Source organism: Homo sapiens, chromosome 2 (genome assembly GCF_000001405.40).
Source record: "Homo sapiens chromosome 2, GRCh38.p14 Primary Assembly".
NCBI lineage: Eukaryota > Metazoa > Chordata > Mammalia > Primates > Hominidae > Homo > Homo sapiens.
The window spans coordinates 217,489,619-217,506,783 of NC_000002.12; the positions used below are offsets into that span (position 1 = coordinate 217,489,619).

The following is a 17,165-nucleotide window of genomic DNA, read 5'->3' on the forward strand; positions in this document are numbered from 1 at the left end:
CTCAGACCGCAGGCCTCTCTGAGAGTTGTTGATGCCTCAGAGCGGCTGACTTGCAGATTGTATCCGTATTCCCCCAGCTCAGACCTCCCACCACCACTCAGCGGACAACTTAGGGATGCCCTCAAAGCTGCGTGCCTGCTGCAGAGCTGTAATTTAAATCAACTTGGGAGCTGTGACGAGGCAAAGAGCAACCTCAGAGGGTGGTGGGAACCGCTGGGACTCCTGCTCTGTGGCTCGTGTACAAGGAGGAGAGGGTGGTGGACTGTTAGAGACTGTGACTCACTTGCAATCTCATACGGGGAAAGAGTTCCAAGCCTTTCTCCTCTCCTTTCCCTAGCATGTGAAGATGGGGAGACCCATTGTTTATCTTCGTGTGATACAAATTGAACAAACAAAATGGACTGTTCCTTTAACAGGTTGACTGTAAGCTAATCATGATTTAAAAAAAAACTAACTGACTGTTTTCCTACCCCAAGATGGGTAGCAGAGGCAAACTCCATGGTCATAATAGCAATGACAGCAAACACTTTTACACCATTTACCATTTGCAGGCACTGTTCTAACTAACCACTTTACACATTTTAACACATTTAATCTTGACAACTTCATGGGTTAGTGTCTTTACTCGCCATATTTTCAGGTGAGGAAACTGAGGCACAGGGAGTTTAAGCAACTTACTAATAAATGAGGAGGTTTTCTGGCCCCAGACTCTGCTTTTAACCACTCCCCTATATGCTTTGCACATGGCAAACATGATGCTGAGTGCTTTATAAAATCATCTGACTCACTCCCATTTGACAGATGAGAAAACTAAGGCTGAGAGTTGCAAAGTAACTCGAAAAGATTACACAAATAGTAAGTAGCACAACCAGGATCTGGAGCTAATTGGACTGACTGCACATCTATCCCATCTACCCCATCTACCCCTTTCATTTCCAATGACCTGCTAGGTGTGGAAGCCCCAGCAGATGAGGAATACACAAGGCAGAGTAGTCATGAGCCACAGCTGATAGCATGGTAAAGCTGTATTCCAACCAGTAGCCCTTTAGCAGGTGCTCCCAGCAGGCTCCGGGGCTTCCTCATCTGCCTCCAGTTCAGACTAAGATCTGGTCTTTTTCCAATGACTCCATCTTCTTCTGAAGTTCCAATTCCATTGTTAAACACGGTAGTGGAACTGGCATTTAAAAAATCCATTCACTTTTTAAAAAAAATTTTTTAATCTCTACTCATTAAAGTCAACTGTTAAAGAGTAAATGCTCCAGGGAAAAGGTAACATTTTAAACTCATGTGGACAAACTTTTGGGGGAATGAACTGAGGGGTAACTGACAAGGACCCCTGGGTATGGATGCACAATAGGGACTTGAAGAGTCAAAGAGGAAATGAGGAATAAAGCTTCACTAACTCACTCACTGCCCAGTTGTCCCAGGGACAAGTCTGGGCTCCTGTCCGTCCTTTGTCTTCTGGTTTCTTCCCTCTAAAACACCACAGACTCAAAGGTGGCAGATCAGAGCAACTCTAGAGACCCTTGCAGATATGTCAGAGTGTCAAGGGCTCAAGGGCCAGTTCAATCCTTTCATTTTATAGACCAAAAAACAGAGACCTCAATTGCTACATGATTTGTCTATGGTTATACAGTTAAACGGTATGAAAACCAATAATAAAACTCAGAAATAATGGTCTTGAGAAAAATAAGCAGCCCTAAGCCACTGTAGGAATTTTCATATGTCCAGTCCTCTGATTTTCTCTCTTCCTGAAAAGCTCATTATTCTTTAGTAGCACGACAGAAATGTCCTTTACACAAAAGAGTAGAAGTGTCATGTGGTTGAGAAACAGGGTTTGGACTCATACACTCCACATTCCAGCTCCAGCTCTGACATTCATAGCCTGTGTTATCTTGGGGAAGTCACAAGTTTCAGACGCTCAACTTCCTCAACTGTCAAACAGAAAAATCATAAAACCTTTCTTATAGACTTGTTTCAATCATGAGTTAAATTATCATATTTGACAGCACCTAATACAGCTTCTGGTACATTTTTGGGGCTTAATGAATGCTTTGTCATTGCACTTTGATCAGACGAGGAATATTTGGGATGTTTGAGGAACTTAGTTTGATTTTCTATCCCAATGGACCACCAAGCCCTTGCCTTATTTTTTTTTAATCCCAAACATTTTTATAATTGAGTCATCTATTCCTGTTACCTTTTCCTTTTTCCAGCCTTTCAGTTTGGCATCATTTCCCAGCCTAACAAATTTATTGCCTATTTTATCATTCAGAATGGAGGTGATGGTAGCAATCACTTTTCACCTCTGAGTTTTACGGACACTCACCTATCACACTCCAGCTTTGGCCTCTCCCAGATGGACACCTATTCATTGGAAAGCAACATGTGGAATGAGCTGTGCGGACACTGGTATGTCTACCAAAGACCTCTGGGATTCTATTTCTCTCATGCTATTCGTCACAGTACCTGATGCCCTGGTGCTCACCTCCTTCTTGAAAGTTATGCCATCCTAACCTCCACCATTCGTCTTTTCCAATTATCCTCTCTTTTCACTAATGTCCTCTGACTTCTTCAGTTCTTGTTCTTTCCTCACCCCTTAGCCACAGCATCACTTGAGTTTAATACATATCCATCTGCATTAATTTCTGTGACTAGAACAGTGGCAATCCCACCCCCTTTTCCCCTATTTGGAGAGAGACATGGGAAGAAAACAGCTTCTCATTAAGGAACTTAATCAGGTCTTATTTAAGTAGTCGTCTTAAAGCTATGGCTGAGCCTTTGGCCTACAAAGTAAAGCTTAGACCTTAATATTAACAGCAAAGAGATATCCTCAAATACCCTCTATATGTAGAAGATTTTATGAAAATCTGAGGGAGAAGCAGGCCTCGTATAAATGTTTTGTCATTAAATTTTAAAAGAAGCATACTTTTTTATTAAAATTTTTTAAAGAAGCATACTTCATGTTTCAGTGAATAGATGGAAGTTAAAGGAAATCACAAGAAACAGAAGGGAGTAACATTCCAAGGGAGGCAGAAACATAGAGATAAAGGTAGCCATAAAAATGTAATTTTCTGAGATTTTATCTACACTACCCTAATTATAGCAAGAGAGTTGTACTATTCTTAAAAAGCAAAATATAGATTTAGGCTACTTCATCTATTTATATGACTTAAATTACAACAATTTTTAAAACTAGTACCAATATTTATACAACTCCAAAATAAATCTGTGGAGTTGATAGTATTCTTCAAGACATCCTCTTTGTCTATCATAATCTCACCCCCTTTCTCCATCTCCTGCAATGACACCTCAATTTGCCCAGTTGCCAGCATCAACTTGAAAGCATCTTCTCCCTCCTTTAGTCCCATATTCTTCATAGCTAAACTCTGCCAACACCACAGGGAGTGGGCAAGAATGACCACAGTAGATTCAGATGTAATCAGTTTGTTGCTTGGGATACACCATACTTAGCCTGTCAATCCACCTGAAAAAGGAACAATAAATTCCCGTCCTTACTTTTCCTCACCCAAATTAGCCCAAACAAATTAGATTGGTAGAACCATTTGTTCCCATCTGGTTTCCACAGGACATGTAGACTCAGAAAAGTTTTCTTTTTTTGTTGTTGTTGTTTGTTTGTTTTTGTTTTTAACTTTTATTTTAGGTTCGGGGGTATATGTACAGGTTTATTACATAGGTAAACTTATGTCATAGGGGTTTGTTGTACAGATTATTTCATCACCCCAGTATAAAACCTAGTACCCATTAGTTATTTTTCCTGATCCTCTCCCTCCTCCCACCCTCCATTCACCCTCAATCCGACAAGGTGGGAACCATTGGATGCCCATAAGCCTTCTGAACCTTGTATAATAAACTACTTGGGGCTGTCTTTTCTTTAGATCTCAGAAACCACAATGAGGAACTATTATCAGTGACTTTAGTCAGGGGAGCAAGATGGGAGTTTGATAGATCCCAATATGTGTTGTTCCTCTGTCTATGTGTTCTTCTTATCATTTAGTTCTCACTTATAAGTGAGAACATGTGGTATTTGGTTTTCTGTTGCTGCATTAATTTGCTAAGGATAATGGCTTCCAGCTCCATCCATGTCCCTGCAAAGGACATGATCTGGTTCTTTTCTATGGCTGCATAGTATTCCATGGTGTATTAATATATGTACCACAATTTCTTCATCCAGTTTATCATTAATGGGCATTTAGGTTGATTCCATGTTGCAAAGGTTCCTTAAGATTCCATCTTTCCTTTAGTTTCATAGCCTATTTTGCCCATTTCTCCCATTCCTCCTTTCTTCCATTTCTTTACCCCCAGATGTCCAAAGCAGCCTCCTGACTTATATTCTTGTTCCCCTTTCTTCCCCTCTCTTTAGCCTAATTCATTTAGATTCCAGAGAAACTGAGCCACATTTTCACCATTTGTTGGTCTCGACTAAAATCAAAAATTTGTCATTAATATGCTACCACATGTAAACAGGCAACAAAGTAAATGATTTTGACCTAAATATTTGAGACATTGGCTCTTGGTAAATACAAAATCTCCTTCATGTCATGAGGACATGTATTTGACCAGACATTGGGTAAGGGGTTGAGGAAGCTTTGTGTCATATTTTTGGGGAAAGACCACTATACCTCCATCGCTACATCATCTGAGAATTTAGAATAATCTGTATCAGAGACTAGATGGTCAAAAACTTAAATTGCAGAAGATATAACATCACTTTCTGTGCACCTATCAGTGTGCATATGTAGACAATCACTTCCAGAAAGAGGGGAGACTGGGCAGCTGGCTGGATGTACTGGGACATATTGAACCATTTTTTGAATGTTTGGGGCTTGGCAAATAAATGCATTGTGCCCGAAGCACCTTTTTCCCTTCACTTAAAACCCATGTGTATTGGAAAGGAAATTTAATTCTTATGTTTCTGATTTGCCCACATTTAACCCATCAAAATCCAACTTGGTGGGAACCATTGGATGCCCATAAGCCTTCTGAACCTTGTGTAATAAACCACTTGGAGCTGTCTTTTCTTTGGATCTCAGAAACCACAATGAGGAACTATTTTCAGTGGCTTTAGTCAGGGGAACAAGATGGGAGCTTGATTTTGCCCTCAGATTTCACCACAGCCAACAAATTCTAACTTTGTTCAGATGCATTGTCACGCCTTGTATTTACTTCTTGCCAATAACCTGAGGTCTAGTAACCACTGTTTTTGTGAAAGTCAAACAATATGGACTGATATTCAACTCCAAAACGGGCTGAGCACTGTGCGGGTCTCTCTCACTGGGTCTCAATGTCCTCACCGGTGTTAGGCAACTCACTTACCTGAACCTTTGAGTAACTCTTCTTCCCTCTGCACAGTCTAATTATACAGGAGATACTGTTCACTCATAAAGGATAATGGATTAGGATGAAAATATTAAAAAAAAAAAAAAGGAAATAAGATCCTGTAAATGGGCTGAATGTGGTGGCTCATGCCTGTAATCTCAGCACTTTGGGAGGCTGAGGTGGGCAGATCACTTGAGTCTAGGAGTTTGAGACTAGCCTGGGCAACATAGTAAGACCCCCCCATCTCTAAATAAATGAATAAAATTTTCAGCTGAAAATAAATTTGCAATAAATAAATAAATAAAGAAATATAAAAGGTCCTATAAATGCAAAAAGATCATTATAACCTATACACTGACAACATGGATTATGGGAACATTTGCAGAATATGACTGAAGTTCACATAATCTCTATACCCACCCAGATGTGTGTCTTTAGACTACTTCAAACCTAATGTGGAAATTGAGATTGTGTTTGGCCAACTTAATCACCTACATCAGTCAGAGGAAGATGAAAGAAAAGTCATAACTAATATGCAAGCAATTATTATCCAAATTTGGCTTTTTATTTCTAAGAACCATAGAATTAAATTCAAACATTTAATCCCTCTCTGCTTGGGCCTGTTTCACCAACATGTGGGACAAAGAGGCAGAAAACAATTTATTTCTAGGCCACCTGCCGCTGTTTTCTTGCTGAACTGGATACGTGGTAGGAGAAGAAGCCAGGTGGTCTGACCTGTTCACAAGTAATCAGGAGCTAGCTGTTCTTCCTGCAGCAGAAGCCAGAGCTCAGAATTTCCTGACCCATGCCCACTACATTCTCAATGTGGTGTTTCCTTAAGATCTGAGTGCTCATACACATCATTCCCGGAGCTCACATGCCTCCCTTTCAAGGCACATTGTGTCTTTCTTCCTGAGTCCCACAACAACATATGAAGGGGAAAATATGGGTATAAAAGTCTTTTCCCACCTTTCCATTGAGACCATGGTGATATTTATGCCCCTTCATTTCATCCAGAACCCAGCTCTGGGACATGTGGCTATGAAACCTTCCATCATTTTAAGACTTTTGAAAGTACAATTTCCAGCAGAACAGTGGTTTTTATTGTTTCTCTCTCGTTTCTGAGCAATTTAGGCCATCTAAAGAGAAAGACCTGAAGTTTCTCTTGTCAGTTCAGCCCAAAAATGAGGGGAAATGATCATTTGAAATCCAGAAAGAGAAAAAAAAATTAAAGAAAGAAATTCTTGACTTGGAAGAGATTACATATCTGACTAGAAATAAAATGGGATACAGTGAAGTTAAAAACATGAATTCCTACCACATTATCACTAACATGAGCTGTTCATCCTGAATTGCCTCCAGCTAGGGAGCTGTGGTAGGAAGGGTACTTAAGGCTTTGAAATCAGGTCTACCCAGGTTCAAATCACAGCTCTGCCTTTTCCTGCCTCTATCCCCTCATCCTTATAAGTGTCAGCTGAAGAATGATGAAGTCATAATTTTGGAAAGGAGATCTTTATTTCTCATAAACGGTTGTAGCCTGCAAGGTAGCCATTCTGACAGGCTGGGAAGTGTAGCCTCCAGCCAGAAGCTGGAAAATGGCACTTTGGTGGTGGTCGGGGTAGGCATAAGACAGGAATTTATGCTGAACAGCTTGGCTAAGCATACATATTCAATAAACTATAGGAGAAATCATGAATATTTATGAAAGGAGTAATATGCACAGGCACAATTGAGCTCCATGCCTCTTCATGGGTGGCATGTTCAAAAAATGATGGCATTACTATTTAAAATAGTAAGGACTTGGAACTAACCCAAATGCCCATCAATGATAGACTTGATAAAGAAAACGTGTCACATGTACACCATGCAATACTATGCAGCTATAAAAAAGAATGATTTCATGTCTTTTGCAGGGACATGGATGAAGCTGGAAGCCATCATTCTTAGAAAACTAACACAGGAACATAAAACCAAACACTGAATATTCTCACTCATAAGTGGGAGTTGAACAATGAGAACATATGGACACAGGGAGGGGAACATCACACACCGGGGCCTGTTGGGGGGTGAGGGGCAAGGGGAGGGAGAGCATTAGGACAAATACCTAATGCATGCTGAGATTAAAACCTAGATGATGGGTCGATAGATACAGCAAACCACCATGGCACATGTATACCTATGTAATAAACCTACATGTTCTGCATTATGTATCCCAGAACTTAAAGTAAAATTTTAAAAAAAAAAAGATGGCATTAGAATGATCCAAAGGTGCAGTTTTTGACTTTCTAATATCAAAAGGTAAAGCACAGAACATGTAAACCCTCACTGTGCACCCTCTGTTGATGCCAGAACCACTCCATGGTTGGTGGTCTCTTATTAGGAAGGAATACATTGTAAAACTGGTGAGTTATCATGTCAAAACTGCAAAGAGAGGGAGAGAGTCCTGTCACGGCCTCAGATAATTGGCTAAAGGTAATAAAGGAAGGAGTCATCCCTTTCTTGTTTTCTAGAGCTGATTTCTGCTTACTCTAGGAAAGAATTCTGGTTAAAGGTTAATAACGAAGGGGCATACTGGGATGTGTCTGACCTCCCATCTTGTCATGGCTAGGAGCTCAGTTTTTAAGGTTTATCTGGGGTCCCCTTGGCCAAGAGGGAGTCTATTCAGTTTTTTGAAGGACTTAGGATTTTATTTTTATTTCTCATGAGCAACAAGGCTTATGATCTATAAAAACAGGGAAAATAATACCTTCTTCATAGGGTTGTCATGAAGATTGAATGGACTATGAATTTAAAGTATCTGTTACAGAGTTGAAAGGTCACAAATGATAGCTATAAAGTATCTAGCCCACAAACCTTGCTGTTTTTCCTGGAATTTTCATTGGTTACACCTTCAAGTTAAAGATTGAAAGTTACTATTAAAAGTCAAATATGTGACCTAGAAGAAATAACAGCAATCTCTTTCAGTGATTATCATCTTGGTATATGTTAGCACCTAGCCTAGTTATCTGATATGATAGGGGAATAAGATAGAGAGATTTTAATGGCTAGAAGGAAAGGGAAAAAAGCTTAGAACATGGTATGCTGAGACAGCAAATTCAAGTGGGCAAGAATCGTTGACACTCCAGGAAGTGGGATGCCAAATGAGGGTGGGAAGCCAGAGGAGAGGAGAAGAGACTTTCTGCATGAGAAGACATTTCATAATTTTGCCTAGGAGCCCAGGAAATGTGATTGCCACCACCAATTTATGCTTGCCTCACTAATATACCACCTCCCCCAGGCAAGTAACTTTGCCTTCATCTGCAAGTCTGCCTGGAGCCTCATTTCTTCATGAAGCTCCTCACAACAATGTACATGGTAGTGAGGCAGGAGAATAGAGTCTGGAGGCAGAGAACCTAAGGCTGTTTCACGTCGACTTCCTAGAACTAAATAGGAAGGAAAACCCTAACTTTCCATGCCTAAGTAACAAAAGGACCAGAGGTTACTACTCCCTTTGGCCTTTTCTGCCCGGCAGATGGGAAACTGGCTGTCCGCAGCAAATCATACTGAGTGTGGGTAGAGTCTTTGTTTGCAGCTTTGTAACTTCACTCCAGTCTCTGAGTGGTTGCTGTCCACAACCAGTCAGACTGATTGCAGGTGGAGTCTTCATTTGTGTAGAAGTATATAACTTTGTAACTTCACCCTAGCCTCTGATTGGCTGCTCTTTGCAACCAATCAGATGTTTGGACAGGAGTGTGACCTTCGTAACTTCATTTCAGTCCCTGGTTGGCTGCTTTCTGCAACCAAACAGACTGATCGCTGGCTACCACTTCATTTACATAAGGTGAGCATAAAGTGGTCAATGGGAAACTTCTAGCGGGTGTTTGGACCCAAGAAGATTCTGTCTCCGGGCCCTTGAACAGCTGCTTGGGTCCGCTCCCACACTGTGGAGTGTACTTTCATTTTCAATAAATCCCTGCTTTCATTCTTTTTTTACTTCGTTCTTTCTTTCCTTTGCTGGGCATGTTGTCCAATTCTTTGTTCAAAACGCCAAGAACCTGGACAACTTGCAGTCACAACCCTCTACCGGTGACAGTAGGAGTAGAATGAATGAGGTCGGATGATCCAGGAACTCAGTGGGAGTTCTAGACATCCATGCCCAACAGACATCATTCTTAGCCCTCATGAACCAGAGTCTTTGTATTACTCTTTTGTGACAAATACAGAGCAATCGAGTTTCACTCAGAAACCTTAGACCAGTCACAAAATATAAAATGACTGGTTAAACCTCACTGCCTAAATGACGAACATTGTCATTGCACCTGCTTCAGCAGGACGGGGAGAGGAGGCAACGGGATTCTAGCAGCACAGGGAGATTAACGGGCTGGGATAAGTGATAACTTAGTGATTGTTTTCTGGAAACTGATAAATTTGCAGACCACATGGAAGTTTCACCTGCCTCAAAACTTGCACCAGTGCTCAATGCCTCTGAGGGTGGGAGCACTCGTTAAAGACATTTACCTGCAGGTGTTTTAATACAGACACTGCCTTAAGTGATGTATAAAAGTTGATAAAAACAATAGACTAACCAAAAAGCTTAAAAGGAAAAGCTAGACAATGAGATGTCTGCAGGGCTTGGAAAACTCTAACTTATTCTTGGAAGTCTAGAAGGCCACACCTATGCATAGGGCTGTCCCTATGCTCAGGAAAGATCTGAGAAGACCCTAGTTGACCTTGAGGCTCTGTGCAAGCAAGAAATAAATGGAATCAATACCAATATCTATCAGTTGATGGGCAAACAAATTTGTAGTATACCCACACAATGGAATAATATTCATCCTTAAAAGTAATGAAGTACTGACACATACTACAGCATGGATACACTTGAAAACATTATGCTAATTAAAAGGAGAAAGAGGCCACACACACACTGTGTGATCCACTTATATGAACTGTTCAGAATAGGCAAATCCATAGAGACAGAAAGTATATTAGTTTATGGGGCTATGGAAAAGGGACAATTAGCAGTGACTGCTAAAAGGTATGGGGTTCCTTTTGGGGATGATGAAAATGTTCTGGAATTGGATGATGGTGTTGGTTGTACAATTTTGTAAGTAGACTAAAAGGCCCCGAATTGTATACTTTAAAATGGTGGGTTTTGTATTATGGGAAATTTTATGTTATATAAATTACATCTCGAGTTTGAGTTTCTGTAAAAAAAAAAACAAAAAAAAACAAAACAAAAAACAAAAAACAACGCCAGACGTGGTGGCTCATGCCTGTAATCCCAGTACTTTGGGAGGCCGAGGTGGGTGGATCTCCTGAGGCCAGGAGTTCAAAACCAGCCTGGCCAACATGGTGAAACCCCATCTCTACTAAAAAATACAAAAATTAGCTGAGCGCAATGGCAGGCACCTGTAATCCCAACTACTTGGGAGGCTGAGACAGGAGAATCACTTGAACCCGGGAGGCAGAGGTTGCAGTGAGGCGAGATTGCGCCACTGCATTCCAGCCTGGGAGACAGAGCAAGACTTCGTCTTAAAAAAAAAAAAAAGGCGGGGGTGGTGGTGGGGAGTAATGGAGGTTGGAGTATTTCTTCTCCTGCCTCTTCCTTTCCATTTTAGCCCACTCTGGCAGCAGGCATATATTTTTTTCTAAATGTCCCACTAGGCAATTTCTTCTTCATAGCTTCCATTTTCACTAGACTCCAGTAACATTGTTTCCTCTCCTTGCTGCTTGGTCTAGAAGTGGCAAGGTTTTCCACCATTGTTATTCTCTGGTGGCCTCAACTTCTTTCTTTCCTTAACCCTTTTGACACCACTGGGAATAATGTGACTTCATTAAAGTCACAAACTATTCAGTGAATTGTTTCTTGATGGGCCTCTGACTGCTACACAAGTGTTCCCAGCTGTTAGTGAAGCCATGTTCTTTGAGGCTCTGATGCTCTGGAATGAGAGCTCCTATGCAGGATGACAATATGGCAATAGAATTTTTGAGGAATACTGGTGTTTTCTAATATACTACTCTCAACCCCATTGTCATCTCATTCTCTATTCTCTTGGGAAATTGCTTCTCCCACAATGGCTTCAGCTATCACCTGTGTACCTATGACTATTGAACTTGAGGTTTTTGTCTCTATGTGGATTAATAAGTTCTAGACACACCTTTTCAATGTGTGCTTAAGTTTTCCCCATGAGTGGCTAATTTCAACTCAGCAGGAATACTTTTCTCTGTTTTAGTGAATAGCACTATCATCCAACCCTTCACTCAAATTAGACACCTCAACATTATCTTTAAGTCCACTCCTCTCTCATTGTCCAAATGGGCTTCAAATCTCACACTTCAGAGATATTTATAAGGAGTATCAATTCCCCTGCTCCTTTCATTGTATATCCTTCGCACCTCTAAATGTCCTCACTACTACTAGTTTCTTCTTTGTTCAAGACATTCCTTCTTCTTCTGTCATCTTTTTAAGAAATCAATTTAATCATATTGCTCCCCTGCACAAACCTTTCCTTGACTCCTCACTGCCTACAGAATAAATTCCAGACTCTTTAATAAGTTACCCAAAGCCTTCCCAAGCTGACTGCAGCTCATCTTTCTAGCTCTTCATTGAACTTCACACACCATACGTACAATTCTTCATTTCCTAAACATTTCCTGCTTTTCCATGCCTTTGTGCATTTGTACATCTCATTGCTTCTGAGTACAAAAGCTCCAATGTTGTTGATTAATCTGATAAAATATTCTTTCCACAGGTCTAAAACAATTCATTTACTCATTCAACAAATCATTATTGATAGTACAATATATGCTGAGTACTATGTTGGGTGTATAGTGGGGAACAAGATTGTTCCTCGCTATAGTCCTGTGGGTCTCTTCTCCCGTAGTACCCAATGTCTACTGGGGACATAAATGTTAACTTGGTAGTCTCTGAACTCACTCCATAATCATAATCACGAATAAGTGCCATGAAGGAAAATTATAGGGTGCTATATCAGGTCTTTTCTGAAGCCCCCAGGCTAAAGTTACTCGTTCTCCTCTGAGTTCCCATAGTGGTATATTTAACTGCTGTTTGATCATGTCTGCCCCAATAAGATTTGAAGTAGAAATTGGGTCATGTTTTAATCTACAGTGGCAGGCAACATTTTTGGCCTGAAGTGTATGCATAGGGGATGACTAAGTGAATAAATAAATTAAATAAACAGTTTTAAGCAAAAGATTGACTTTGAAATTGTCCTGAAAATAATGAGAGCAATAGTCCTAAGAGTGTTTATGGATCCCAAAGCTTCCCTTACTAGCAGACAAATCTTCAAAGTTTTCTAAGGAAATATATCTTACAAGAAAGTATGCTGATGAATTCAATGTTTCATTGACTCACTAATTTAGGACATTCTCCTTTGAAAAACTCTCTCAGGATTTTCATTTTCATCTGGAATGAAATGCGGACACCCATGAATCTGGACAAGGCTACTGTATTTGTGGGGTACTTGTCTGTTGATTGCTACCATCACAGGCATTGGCCACCCCACATCTGGTTTATTGACTAAACCTTTATACCTCTCTTATTCATCCATTTTTAACATTTCACCCTTTGTGTGCTTGGGTTAATTTTTCATCTGAACCATTGAAATGAAAGTTTTAGACATTACGACACTTCATCTGTAAATATTTCATTTTGTATCTCCTAAGAACAAGGATATTTTCCTACACACCCACAACATCATTATCACTCTCAAGAAATTTAGCATTGATGTGACAATATTATCTAGTATATAGTAAATATTCATATTTTCCCAATTATCATAATAGTGTCTTTTATGGCTGTTTTTCTAAATCAAAGATCGAATCTAGTATCATAGGTTACAGTTATTTGTTGTATCCCTTTATTCTTCATTAACAATTCCCTCACTTATTTTTTTTTTTTTACCTTTTGTAAGAGTGAGATTTTTGCAGCACTCAGGCCAACTTTTTTGTAGCCAGCTCTACAAATTTGGATTTTTCTGATTGTTTCCTCATATTTATTTATTTTTTAAATTGACAAATGAAAACTGTGTATGTTTATTATGTACACTTGTTGAAGTATGTATACATTGTGGAATGTCTAAACTGAGATAATTAACATATGAATTATCTCACGTACTTATCACTTTTGTGGTGAGAACCCTTAAAATCTACTCTCTTAGCCATTTTCAAGAATACAATACATTATTATGAACTATAGTCACCGTGTTGTACAATAGATCTCCTGAACTTAGTCCTCCTATCTGGCTGAAATGTTGTATCCTTTGACCAACATCTCCCAACTCCTCAGCCCCAGCCCCTGGTAACCACCAATCTACTCTCTATTTCTATTCATTCAACTTTTTTAGATACTACATGTAAGTGAGATCATGAAGTTTGTCTCTTCCTATGCCTGGCTTATTTCACTTAACATAATGTTGTCTAGGTTCATCTATGTCGTTACACGTGACAGGATTTCATTCATATTTAAGGCTATTCCTTTGTGCATCTATACATATTTTCTTTATCCAATCACCTGTCGATGGGCACTTAGGTTGGTTCCATAACTTGGCTATTGTGAACAGTGTTGCAATGAACATTGGAGTGCAGATATCTCTTCAAATAATGATCTTGTGTCCTTTGGATGTATACTCAGTAGTGAGATTGCTGGATCATATGATAGTTCTATTTTTAAGTTTTTGAGGAAGTTCTACACTGTTTTCCATAATAACTGTATTGTTTTCTCATATTTAAATTCTAATTACGCATATTGGCAAGAATATGACAAGTTTTGTTGTGTCTTTCTCAGTGCATCACATCAGGAAACAGATAGATTATCCCAATCTATCTGATGACTGCTTAAAAAGGTGTTTACTAGATTATTCTAATGTAAATATAGCTTTCTCTTTTGCAATCAGTAAGTCACTTGTGAGGTTAAACTTTATATGACTATCTTGTGACCCAACAACCTTTCACCAGATAATTTTTAAACTCCGTCATCTGCAACATTCGGCTAGCATTCTCTGTAAAGAACTCTTCTTCACCCTCCCACCTAGTCTTGTTTTGCTTGTCAGTTTGTTTTTGAAATCATTAGTTTTTAATTCGGTGCATTAAAAGGCATTACGATCATTATTCTTTTTGATTCTCAATTTGTCCCTAATTTGACTAGTGAGAATTTCTTCAAGCTGGCTCCTGTGTTTACTTGATATGTTCTCGTTAGTTATTGAACATTTTCTTGGGACAATAAAATATTCTCCCAAAATTGCACTTTTCCTTCCTCAGAGACCTGGAATATCTTTTATGGAATGAACTAAGAAACTTAAGTGTTTAAACCACGAGTTTATTCTGAAACCTTCAAATTGAATACAGCGAACTCTTCATCTCCTTCCCTTCCATATTCACAATTCCCTTCCCTCATGGCGGTTAACAACATCTAATATTGACTTAATTCTCTTTCCTATAATTTGCAAAAAGTAGTGTGGGAATTACTACACCAGTACCATAACCAACAACAAACATATAGAGTAAAATTTAAATTTCTTTTCAGTTCTTTTTTGCACTAGGCTATATCCCACGAAACATATTCGGTCAGGGTATTGCGTTGAAAATCAGTTTCTGTGTGGGCTGTGTTGTCGGTTGTATAGTTGGGTTCATTTGTTTCTCTTTGTGTTCAGATTAGAGTATTTTGTCCTTTTTAGTTTTTTTTTTTAATATGTATGACTTTACCATGGCTTAAAAGTCAAAACTATATAAAAAGTTATATAAAAGTTCACTCCTTTCTCATCCCCTCTACCCTATTCTCATTCCTATCCTATATCCATTGTGCAGACAATCACTTTATTAGTTTCTGGTTTATTCTTCCCATGGTTCTTTTTGTAAATATAAGTGTGTGTGGGGGGGGGGGGCGTTCTTTCTTGTTTTCTTTCTCTTTTTTTTACATAAAAGCCTATTATATGTACTCTTTTGCACTTTGCATTTTTTTTACTTAAAACATATCAGTGTAAGTAACCCTAAGCAGTTAAGCAATTAATAAAAATCTTTATCATTGAGACAGAGTCTTGCTCTGTCGCCAGGCTGAAGTGCAGTGGCGTGATCTTGGCTCACTGCAACCGCCGTCTCCCAGGTTCAAGCAGTTCTCCCGCCTCAGCCCCCCGAGTAGCTGGGACTACAGGCGTGCACTACCATGCCCAGCTAATTTTTGTATTTTTAGTAGAGACAGGGTTTCACCATATTGGCCAGAATGGTCTCGATCTCTTGACCTCATGATCTGCCCACCTCGGCCTCCCAAAGTGCTGGGATTACAGGCGTGAGCCACCACGCCCAGCCCTTCATCATTCTTTTCTATAGTTAAATAATTGCCCCAATGTGTGGATGTGCCAGGGTTTATTCAACCAATATTTTATATATTGGTATTCAGGTTGTTTGTTATTTTACTCCTACAAATTATGATTTGATGAATAACCCTGTGCATATGTTTCTTTTGTTCACTTTGGTTTTGTTTGTTTGTTTGTTTGTTTTGGAAGTTTTCAGAATAAAGTTATAGGAGTCAGTTGCAGAGTCAGCAGATAAATGTTACTCTGCCGTATCTCCCTCCAAGCTGATTACACCACTTGAACTTCCAAAGGCAATGTATGTGACTGTGTTATGAGCCAAATTATGTCCTCTGAAAATTCATCTGTTCAAGCCCTAACCCCCAGTGCCTCAGAATGTGACTGTATTTGGAGAGAGGACCTTTAAGGAGATAAGTTGTTCTTGGCCTCCCAGCCTCCAGAACTGTGAGAAAATAAATGCGTGTTGTTTAAGCCCCTCAGTCTATGGTATCCTGTTATGGCAGCTGAGGCGCACTAATGCAGCCTATTTTCCCACAGCTTCAGCAGGAGAATGAGTTGTTAAACTTGTGAATTTTTGCCAACTCAATCGGTTATAAAAGTATAGTTTTGGTCTGTGTAACCGTTTTAAGAGTGCAGCTGAGCATCTTTTCATGTGTTTAAGGGTCAAGTTCCTATAATTTTTGTGGAAATTCACGATTTTTGCTTTTTTCTCAATTTTTAAAAATGTTTTATACATTAAGGAGAGGGCATTTATCTCTGATGCATGTTGCAAATATTTTTGCTTTTTTAGCCACACAATTCTTTATTAATTTTATGTAGTACAACTCCTCAATCTTTTCTTTCATTGTATATGGATCTTTAGTCACATTTAGAAAGCCTGTCCTATATTCAAGTTACAAAATATTCATTCATGTTTTCTTCTAGTATTTGTATGGATTGTTTATTATGTATTTTTCCATTTAGATTTCTCGTGCCTTCAGAGTTTATTATGGTATATGGTGTAAGGTGTGGATCCAGTTCTGTCTTTATCCAAATAGTTGTCCAACTGTCCCAATACCATTTATTCAGAAGTCCATACTTGCCCAATGATTTGAAATGCCATCTATATCAAATAATACATTTTTATGCTAGCTTAAATCTATTTCTGGACTTTCTATCTTGTTCCTCTGATCTCTCCATTCATGTGCCACTACCATACTGTGTTAACCACCAAGCAGTTACAGTACGTTTTAGTATCCAAGAAGACCAATCTCCCCTTATTGCTTCCCTCATCCCCCCTGTGTAGGGTCTCCCAGCCATTCTTGCATGTTCACTTTTCTATATAATTTTAGAATCAACTTGTTTAGGTCCAGAAAACAAAACAAAACAAAAGCTTGTTGACATTTTTCTTGCATTTAAGTTAAATTCACATGTTAACTTGAGAAGAGCTGACATCTGTATGATGTTGAGTAGTTTCTCTCCAAGAAGAACAGATGCCTTTTTACTTGCTCAAGTCTACTTGAATGTCTTTCTGAA

At 39.2% G+C, this 17,165-nt stretch overlaps 1 long non-coding RNA gene across 12 annotated transcripts in view, besides 1 other annotated feature; it reads right to left on the minus strand.

Moving 5' to 3' along the window:
• Window positions 1-17,165, minus strand: part of DIRC3 (disrupted in renal carcinoma 3) — a 506,425-nt gene that overhangs the window by 205,600 nt on the left and 283,660 nt on the right. The window lies entirely within an intron of this gene.
• Window positions 10,902-11,453: an enhancer, noted in NCBI's record as "OCT4-NANOG hESC enhancer chr2:218365243-218365794 (GRCh37/hg19 assembly coordinates)". NCBI's record gives its function as "activates a minimal SCP1, AML or CMV promoter by ChIP-STARR-seq in primed H9 embryonic stem cells {active_cell/tissue: H9 hESC(primed)}" and the evidence as "EXISTENCE:reporter gene assay evidence [ECO:0000049][PMID:30033119]".